This window comes from Homo sapiens, chromosome 3, assembly GCF_000001405.40.
Source record: "Homo sapiens chromosome 3, GRCh38.p14 Primary Assembly".
In the NCBI taxonomy this organism is placed as follows: Eukaryota; Metazoa; Chordata; class Mammalia; order Primates; family Hominidae; genus Homo; species Homo sapiens.
The window spans coordinates 78,523,922-78,535,168 of NC_000003.12; the positions used below are offsets into that span (position 1 = coordinate 78,523,922).

At 34.9% G+C, this 11,247-nt stretch overlaps 1 pseudogene; it reads left to right on the plus strand.

The window, feature by feature from the left end:
* MRPS17P3 (mitochondrial ribosomal protein S17 pseudogene 3) lies at positions 1,161–1,586 on the plus strand (annotated as a pseudogene).

Sequence of the window (11,247 nt, forward strand, 5' to 3'; positions counted from 1 at the left end):
TCTAACATAGTGGGGCTGGCTATAAAAAACAGAAACTTTGCTGCTGGATGAAGTTGATTCGATTGCATCCAGAGAAGAAAGCATTCACACATACAGGACTTGTCAGTAAAAGGAGAAAACTTGCTAGTAAAATGGCGAAAGCACACATCTATACAAGCTGGAGGTTTTGGAGTTGTGTGGGATCAACAGAAGATCAGTGCTTGGCCAGACACTTAACATGGAGATCCTGAAAATGGAAGAGCCATAGCGGAGTTTAATAGGTTATCCTTGTATCTTCGGCTGACTGGGAGACTGTGCACATGTACAGAAGAGACCTGAGAAGGCCCATGCTCTCTACACAATGCTGACTGCCTGGGAATTTGTTCACAAGTCACTCAGAGATAGAAAAGATATAAGGTTCCAAAAAATGTGCTCCCTAACCCACACAGATTTATTGGCAGAAGATGGAAGGCTAACTGGCTCCAGGTATTTGAACACAACTTCTGATCAACTATTAGCTTACTGTTTAGACACACAGATTTAGAGGTTACTCCTAAGAGTCCAGGCTGAAAAATAAAATTAAAAAAATAATAAAGCTATGTGGAGACATCAGCAGCCACGCACTGTGGGTAGCAAGATTCTGCAGATTAAATCCCAGCAAATTGATAAAAGAACAACAAAAACACAGCAACTAAAACAACCCTTAGAGAAGGAAAAAAAAAACCACTTAGAATTCTGAGTTGTCATTATATATTAAATAAAATGTCTCATTTTTAACAAAAAAATTACAAGATATGCAAAGAAACAGGAAAACATGACCCATACTAGAGGAATAAAAGGTCAATAGAACTTCCCTGAGTGGGCCCAGATAGTAAATTTAGCTGATAGATTTCAAATAAGCTATTACGAGTTGATGCAAAGAATGAAAGAGAACTATGTGTAAATAGTTAGAAAACAATTTGAAGACAAGAGAGTTACTAGGTAGGGAATCTCAAATTAAAAAGCAGAAATCATATTAAAGAATCAAGTGGATATTCTCGAGTTGAAAAGTACAATAACCAAAATAGAAAATACACCACATGGGCTCAACAGTAGATTTAAGATGGCAAAGAATCAACTCAAAAATAGGCCAATAGAGCCAGCAAGTGCTCCAACAGCCATGCAACAGAACAATAGAGCTAGGAAATAACAAAAGCCACATCATGTCGATAGCACAATCATCTGATCATGCCAAACAAATAACGGGGAAGGTGATTATGACAGCAATGCAAAAAGCTACTAAAGTGATAGTGACCAGGCTTGTTCTGGATTCCTATTTAATAAGGTATTTTAATAAGTGAAAGACCTGCTTCACTCAGTGTTTTTCAGCAGTGAACAGTTGAAGACACTGCACTTCTCAAACCTTTATCTGTTTCATGAATGAACAGTGTGAAACATGAACTGGCTGAGATAATTTTTATATTTGGAAAAGTCATAGATCCAGTGACAGGAAAACTCTGTAAGAATTACCAACCTGGAGAGTTCAGTCAGTTTGGGAACTATCCAGCTAAACAAAAATCTAGAAGCACTCAAAATCTTTTCAACACTGAGGATAAGAAGGAGCCAAATAATATTTAATTTTCCTTTATATGTTTTATTTTATTTTATTTTATTTTATTTTATTTTATTTTATTTTATTTTATTTTATTTTATTTTGAGGGACAGGGTCTTGCTCTGTTGCTTAGGCTAGAGTGCAGTGGAGTGATCATAGCTACTGTAGCCTCAAACTGCTGGGCTTCAAGTTATCCTCCTGCCTCAGCTTCCCAACTACATGGGATTACAGGCATGCACCACCATGCCCCATGTCCAGCTAATTTTTGCATTATTTGTAGAGACAGGGTCTCGCTGTGTTGCTCAGGCTGATTTTGAACTGCTGGCCTCAAGCAACCCTCCCACCTCAGCCTCCGAAAGCATTGGGATTACAGAGCCAAGCCACCATGCCTGGCCCTTTTGTTAATATTTTATTTTTAATTAATGCATAATAATGGTACATATTTATGGAGAACAGTTGAATGCTTCAATATATGTATACATTGTATAATGATGACTAAATAGGTTAATTAACATTTTCATCACCTCATTTATCAGTTCTTTATGGTGACAAATTCCTCTTGTCAAGCCTTTGAAATATACAATGTATTATTGTTAGCTACAGTCATCTGTATGATCAGAACTTATAACATTGTACTCTTTGTCCAACTTCTTCCCATTCCTCCTCCCCTCTCCTTCCCCAGCCTCTGATAACCTATAGTCTATGTTCTACTTCTAGGAGCTCAACTTTTTAAAATTTTGCCTATAAGTGAGACCATGCAGTGTTTATTTTTCTGTGCCTGGCTTATTTCACTTAACATGATATCATTCAGTTTTATCCATATTGTCGCAAATAATAGGATTTTTGTAATGGCTAGATGGTGTACCATGGTGTATATGTACCACATTTTCTTTGTCTATTCATTCATTGGTGGGCACTTAGGTTGATTCATATCTTGATTATTATGAATAGTGCTGCAATAAACATGGGAGTGCAGATATCTCTTGGATATACTGATTTCATTTCCTTTGGATGTGTACCCAGTAATGGAATTACTGGATCACATGGTAGTTCCATTTTTAATTTTTTGAGGAAGCTTCATACTGTTTTCCATAACAGTTGTAATAATTTACATTTCCAACAGTGTAAGAGTTTCCTTTTCTCCACATCCTTGCCAACACTTGTTATCTTTTTACTTTTTTGGTAATAGCCATTCTAATTGGAGTGAAGTGGTATCTTATTGCAATTTGGATTTGCATTCTTCTGGAAAAATAATTTTTTCTAATTTTCATCACAAAGCATTTCTAATTTCTCCACTGGTATTCATCAAAGAGCTATTAAAAAATAATGGCAAAACATGCAATTACTTTTACACCAACCTAATAAAAGTAAATGAAGTGAAAATGCTTTTTTTAAAAAAAAAATTCATGGTTATATTTCTAATTCCTTTTTAAGTTAACATAGTTTCCTATTACACTGAGTGTACTTAGCAACCTGTTGCATTATTTATAAGCTCACTGGTTTAGAAGGGTTTTTGTTTTTCATTCAAAGGAATTATTAATTTATCTTAGAACCATTATTTTGGTAGAAGAAAACCTTTTGATATAATCAAAAGATAAGACCACACTAAGTAATGTTTATTTTTGATGGCATATAGACAAAATTAATTCATTTTTTTCTATCACTAATACCAAAGGGAAATATTCAACATCTTTGTGATCAGATTTTATCAGGTTTAGCTGTATCAGTACAAATGTTTAATATAGAAAATAAAATTTTAAAGTTCTGCATTATTTCTTTTATATCTTATATCCTATGCTAGATTAAATAGGCATGTGTTCTTAAAATACGACACATATATGAGGTTATAGGACTTCTCACTTGTGCATTTGATTCCAGTTTTGTTGGTGCTCATTAATGAACCATGATAACTTAGATTTTCACTTAAGGAAACATTGAGCTATATATCTCCATTTTCTTGCACCTAGAAAGAGCCTTGGAACAAATTTAACACTCAACTAATATGTGTATTGTACAAGCACAGGTTTCAGTGATGACCATAGCCCATCTTCTCAGAGCTCACAATCTAGTGGTGGAGGTATGCACAGGAGTTTCATGGCAAACAGAGGGCTGCATGGATGAGGGAAAGATTAAGGTATTATCGCAGAGAGATGAGATGATGCTAGAACTGAATCCTAAAGAAAGGTCTCCAAGCAAGTAGGTGAAAGATGTAGAAATGGCCTTTTAGGGAGTGTTAAGTCCTCAGAGTGCAAGAGAAAGGAGCATGACCAGGGGTTCTGGAAGCAGGTGAGGATTGCTGGAACGATTTGAACAGGGTTGGAACTGAGGTAGAGAAATAGACAATAGCTATATTGTAAATCATGGTAGCTTATTTGAAGCTTTTGAAGAAAATAATATAATTAGATTTGCATTTCAATACAAGTAATAGCGTAATTGTAGAGAATGGACTGGAAGAGGACATATTGGGGTAGAAAGACAGAACCTATTCATAGACTGGTCCTAAGAGCTGAACCGAGATAAACAGGGACAATGAAAAGAAGTTGGATAGAAGATATTCCGAAGTGGAATTCTCAGGGCTAGGTGCCAGCGTAGATGCATAAAACGAAAGCATCTGAGAGAGTGTCTAGATCTTTGGCAGATGGAGAGAGATGGTACCAGTTAGAATGGAAGGGGTTCATGGAGAGTACTTTAGAGGATGGCTCCTATGTCAGCGCTCTGGGATAGAGTCCAAGCCATTTTTAAAAGCTCAAATATTTTTAATTTCAATATGTACTCTAAATGAATTATATTATTTTTATTTTATTTTAATACAAAAAAATGAAAAAATAGATCAATAAAAATTATCCAATCTGAAGAAAAGAGAAAAAACTAATGGAGCCCCAGAGACATCAAACATAACAACATAAGTGTAAGGAGAATCACAAAAGAAAACAAGAAAGTCGGTGAAAATCATTTAAAGAAATAATGATTGAAAAATGTTCAAGATTTGATGGAAAACATGTGTCTATAGAACAAAATGCTCAATTAACTCTAAAGGGGATAAATCCAAAGAGTTGTACACCTAGTCAAAGTGTTGAGAGATAAAGATAAACAGAAAATTTTGAAAGCAGCAAAAGAAAAATACTCATCACGTTTAGGAAAACAGCAATGAAATTAGCATCTCACTTCTCTTTAGAAAAAATTGAGTCCAGCAAGTCATAGGATGGATCATTCAAAGTTCTGAAAGAAGAAAAAAAAAAAAAAAAAAAAACTATCAACCAACAGTTAGAGATCCAAAAAAAGTATCTTCTGAAATAAAAAGGAAATAAAGATATTTCCAGATAAATAAAAGCAGAATTGATTTTTGTACAGTACTGCTTTAACAAAAAGTGTTCAAATAAGACTTTCACATGCAAACATAATGACATCAGAGAGTAAATTGAGTTCCTAGGAAAAAATGAAGGTCATTAGAAAGAGTAAATATGCAGGTAAATATAAAACAACTGCATATATATTTTATTATCTTCTCTTAGTTTCTTTAAAGGGCATAGGTTGAGTAAAACAACTGTAACATTGTATTTTGGGGGTTATAATGTAGATAAATTATATTTATATGTATATATATAAATGCATGTAATTAATACCACCAGGAAAAATAAGAATTATAACTTTATTGGAGCAAAGTTTCTTTATTTACCGGAATTAAATTTTTATTCACCCAAAGTTGAATTTGACAAGTTAAAATGTATATTGTAATCTCTTGAACAAACACTAAGAAAATAATTAATTTTAAAAAGGAAGTAAGAAATAAAAGACTATCTTAAAATCACCAGAAGACAAAATGGTACTCTAGAGAATATTTTGATAACAACTTATTTCATCAAAGGGCAATTCAATGCAGAAAGGACAATGTATTTAGAAAACCTAATTCTCCCAGGATCATTTTTTTCTTCAAAATTTTTTAAAAATTTGTTTTATATTTATGCATCAATTGAGGTAAGCATCTAGGTTTATTTTCCTCCTTGCCTCAAAGCTTGCATAAATATTAACTCAAAGTGTGTCATTGACATACATTTAAGAGTTAAAACTATAGAACTTCTAAAAGAAAGTTTAGGAGAAAATTTTTTGACTTTGGGTACTAGGCTTAGTACCTGGGGGACAAAATAGTTATTGTTTTTACATGTACAGAGATGGGGAAGACTGGGGGAGGAAGAGGTTGGATTTGGAGCCGCGGAAAAAGTGTCTTCCTTTGGAAAATTTTCAGAGGATGTGAATCATCCAGGTGATCAGGAATGAGACAGTGAGAAAAGATTTTAAATTCTTGAGTGTTGAAGCTTTGGTACCATGTGGTAATCTACAGTACATACATATGGGTTGGGAGTAGCCAACTGTGCCAAATGCCACCGAGAGACTGCATGGGATGAAGACAGAAGAGTGTGTGTTGGATTTAACAACATGAAGTAATAACATGTCACTGACATTAATTAGAGCCATTTCAATGGAATAATTATGACAGGAGCCAGAGAGGAGTGGATTTAAGAGTAATGAGTGAATAACAGGAGAGATTGTGGGCTTTCACAACTCTTGAGGGAAACACTGCTCTAAAAGGAACAAATCAATAGGGTGGTAGTGGAAGAAATATTTGAAGTCAAGTATATATAGTTTTTATGATTGCTTGTAAGTTTGTTTTTAATGTGAGTTACTAGAACATGTTTTTAGAGGATTATGAAGAGAGAGTGAAAAGAAGGGAGGGAGGCAGGGATGAGGAGGGAAAGACAGAGAAAGAGATACAGAGAGGGAGAGAATGATGGTGTCACAGAAGAGAGATAAATGATGGGAGCAGAATTGTCCATTGCTCCTTGTTGCTCTTAGTGAGGTGTGTTTTTTAATTCTAGGTACTTGTACTTTAAATAATAGCTGAAGAATACTGTTCATTGGGATTTAAATAGCATTTAATTGAACATCATCTCTGAGGACCTCTGTATCAGCTCATTTTCATGCTGCTGATGAAGACATACTCAACAGCGGGTAACTTATAAAGAAAAAGAGGTTTGATGGACTCGCAGTTCCACGTGGCTAGGGAGACTTCACAATCATGGTGGAAGGCGAAAGACACATCTTACATGGCAGCAGACAAGACAGAGAATGACAGCCAAGCAAAAGGGAAAACCCCTTATAAAATCATCAGATCTCATGAGACTTACTCACTACCATGAGAACAGTATGGAGAAAACTGCCCCCATGATTCAATTGGCTGCCACCGGGTCCCTCCCACAATATGGGGCTATTATTATAGGAGCTAAAATTTAAGATAGGATTTGGGTGGGGACATAGCCAAACCATATCAACCTCCTAATATCTCCTGGATCATGGGATTATTGTAGAAAAGAAAAATTATGGTTTTTTTTCCTAGTTACATCTTTTCCTGTATTTAGGCTTAACAGATTCAGTATTTGGTCATCTCCCCTTCCTGTACTCACTATATTGCCTAAGTCAAGAAGCTCAGCATTCATTTTTGTGATTTACATAAGCACACACACACACACACACACACACAAAACAAACATACAAAAAATGCATTTGGGTTAGCAACAGATTTTTCTGAAAGCCTGACAGTGATAGAAAATTAAAACAACTTAAAATTGACAAGCTCTTTCTAAATGCTTCTTTAGTTTTCTCCTCTGTTCTCATTTCTGTTCTTCATTATTATAAGTGAAAGCAGTACTGCTAATTTCTTATTTTATTTATTTTATTAATTCTTTCCAGCAAATGCTCACAGGTACTCATTTTCCAGTTCTTATTCGATTTGCCATGATGTTTGACTAAATAAAACATTTTCTTTCATAATCAAGCTATAATAGTCTTCGTAAAGATAACTTTTTTAGCCCTCCACAAAAATTATTATTCCCTTTCTAGTCATAGCTGGTATATCTTCCCACCCTTGTACAAAGTAATTAATGCCAAATATATTTGGTATTGGTAAACCACTACAGAATTTTCTGTAAGAGAAACTTTTGAAGACTAGCCAACATCTTCAATCTGGGTAAAAATGAAGGTGTGTGTTAACAGTTATTATTATAAATTGGAACACCTGTTAAGAAGTCTGTATTCCAGCTTTCTCTTCAATTCCAGATGCAATTCAATGCCTTCACTTACTCACTAAATAATGCCAGAAAACATTACATGAAAGGATAAGCCAACATTCGCATCTGTTTCCAAGCAGAGTTCTCAAAAACTGTGACTTCCTCCAATTTAACTTTTATGGAAGGACTTCCAGAATACTGAGCAAGTGGTATTTGAGGATTTGATCGAGAAAGCACATGGTGGTTAATAATTCTGGGTATTACATTTTATTGTTTTCTTTTTCCCTTCTTATTGATACATCTCACAATTGAAAGGCAAATTTATACATACAATTACTGTATGTATTGTTTAGTACAAGCATGTTATTTAAGTATAACCTTATTTTTAGTTGTTTTACGTTTCATGAAAAAATTCTCATTTTTTTCCTTCTTTCCTACGAAATTCATGAATGTTTGAGAGAAAGAAAGAAATTTCAACATAAACCATTTATCATGTGCCTGTTTTTGATTCACATTTTGTTTACAAGTAAAGTAATTCCTATATTTATAAAGGCATCTTAAAAGGTAATTAAAATCAAAAAGACACATAGTTTCTTGAAGTATATAGTATGTTAAATCTGAAGTTTTCCCTAAAGAAAACTGAACATAAAGTTAATTAAAGAAATATTCTTAAATAAAGATGCTCTTGTTTGGCCAGACGTGGTGGCTCACACCTGTAATCTCGGCACTTCAGAAGGCGGAGGATCTCCTGAGGTCAGGAGTTCAAGGCCAGCCTGGCCAGTGTGGTGAAACTCTGTCTCTACTAAAAGTACAAAAATTAGCCAGGCATGGTGGCAGGCACCTGTTATCCCAGCTACTCAGGAAGCTGAGGCAGGAGAATCACTTGAACCCGGGAGGTGGATGTTGCAGTGAGCCGAGATCGTGCCATTGCACTCCAGCCTGGGCAACAGAGGAAGACTCCATTTCTAAAACAAACACACAAACAAAAAGATGCTCTTGTTAATAGAAAATAAAAATATGCAACACTGTTATTTTTGTAAATACAATTAAATGTCTGTCTTTATGTCTGTTAACATGGCACACACCAAAAAATAAGTCTAGGTTTTTTCCTAAAATTTGGCATATGTGGGATGGTTGCCTTAATATGTCAGCTTCATGGTATAAAAGGAACTTGCATTAGGTGTCTCTAGTTGACTTTACAACTTTATCTTTCCCTTACAGACACAATAACACATCATTTAAAAGGTGTCAACAAGCTGACATTTGAAATGTGCATTTCTTTTTAATTTTATCTAATTTTATAGTTATATTTCCAAATATTTATTATTTCAAAGCAATATTTTTTACTGTGCCCATTATGCCTTAATGATCAATATGCAGAATTATGTGAGCTAAACATTTAAAAATAAGATTTTTTTAAGATTCCAAAGAGGAAAGAAGTGGGGGCATTAAGAGTTAAAAGCCTCAATTAAAGGCAAATGAAATTGATGTCCAATATAAGGACAATTTGGCAGCCAATAGGAAAATTAAGCATTCTCAAGATAACCAAGACTAACTGAAAAATGCCAAGAATGATTGAGCAACAAGAGAAATCATCAGTCATCTTACAGAGCCACTGAAAAACACAATTCACGATGTCCAATTAGGGCAAGATACAGCACTTGAAGAAAATTGACACCTAAGTACAGCATGAAGGATGCCAGGCCACTCATCATGCAAAACATGCCATGGATATTAAGGTGTTATGGACAGAAAAGCAATGGAGTTTCAAATACAAGCTCAGACTCATATTTTCTATGAAATTTAACATCACCTTAGTATCTGAAATTTGCCATTTTCACATTTTCTTAAAGTAGAAATATGGATCTAAATCACAAGTCTTTTCTCTAAAGGGCCAGATAGTAAATACTTCAGGATTTGTAGAGCATACAATCTCTGCCTTCTCGGTTCTAGCTTTGTTGCATGAAAGCAACCACAGACAATGCATGAAAGATTGAGCATGGCTGTATGCCAATAAAATGGTATTAATAACACTCAAATCTGAATTGCTATATTTTTCACATTCAATGAGATATTATTCTTCTTTGTATTTTTTTTTAACCCTTTAAAAATGTAAAAGCCATTTTCAGCTCAGCCATACAACAACCAGTGGTGGGCTAAATTTGACCTGTAGACTACAGTTTTCTCAGGCCTGGAATAATGATACATATTGTTTTGATAAAAAGGTCATTTTGGGTTCAGCTATTGAGTGTATTGGTTAGCTTTTGCTATATCACAAACCACCACAGATCTTTAATGACTACTAATACAACCACCGTTTATTGCTCATGATTTTGAGGGTAATTTGTACCGGGCTCAGCTAGACCATTCTTCTGACCTTGGCCAAGCATGACTATTCTTGATTGGGCTTATGCTATGTCCAAGACTTCATCGAGGAATAGTGATTTATGATTAACTTATGTAGGATAGCTGGGACTGTGAGAGCTTTTCTACGCATGGCTTCTCATTTTTCAGAAGTTTCCCTGGGCTTGAACAGGGCAGTCAAAGGGTTCCAGATGCATGAAAGCAAAAACTTCAATACCTCTTAGGCCCAGGCTTAGAATGTCACCTCTCTTGCAATCTGTTGGTCAAAAGCAAGTCACAAACCCGCCCAGTTCTAGAGGTGAAGAAAGAGACTACTTCTTGAATGGAGAAATAGCAAAGAATTGTGGCCATTTTTACAACCTGTCACAATGAGTTTCCAAAGGCATTTAAGTAGTTAATGATGCCATAGGTTCTATCACAAAAGATTTTAATGGGATGTAATAAAGAATATTCAAGTGTATCCCCTGTGTTACTTCATTTATGCTACTGTAACAGAATGCCTGAGATCAGGTAATTTATTGTGAACAGAAATGTATTTCTTACAGCTCTGGAGGCTGGAAAGTTCAATATCAGGTTCAGACATCTGGTGAGGGACTTGCATCGTCTCATGGTGGAAAGGCAAAGAGAGGGTAAGAGAGAATGAGAAAGGCACAAAAGAGGGCTAAACTCATCCCTTTATGAGGAAATCCATTCCTGAGATAACAAACACACTCCCGCTATAACAGTATTCATCCATTCGTGAGGGTAGAGCCCGAATCTCTTCTTAAAGGTCTAACTTTCTTAATTCCTTTATAATGGCAATTAGATTTCAACATGAGTTTCGGGGGAATAAATTCAAATCTTAGTTATACTTCAAAATCCAATACCATGGAGTCCTTGCAATGATCCATTTGCTTCTTTTTAGATGGCTTTCTTAAGGTATAATTGATATACCATGAACTGCTCATATTTAATATATGTAGTTTGATGAGTTTGAACACATGCAAACACCCATGGTAACATCACCACAATCAAGGTAATTGGTAATATCTATATCCAACACATCCCAAAGTTTCCTTGTGTCCCTTTGATTTACTGATTGATTTATTTATATTTTGGTAAGAATACTTAATGTGAGATCTACCCTCTCAACAAATTTTGAAGTACACAATACCATATTTTTAACTATAGGCACTACACTGTACAGCACATCTTTAGAATTTATTCTTCTAGCATAACTGAAATTTCATTCCCATTGAATAGCTCCCCATT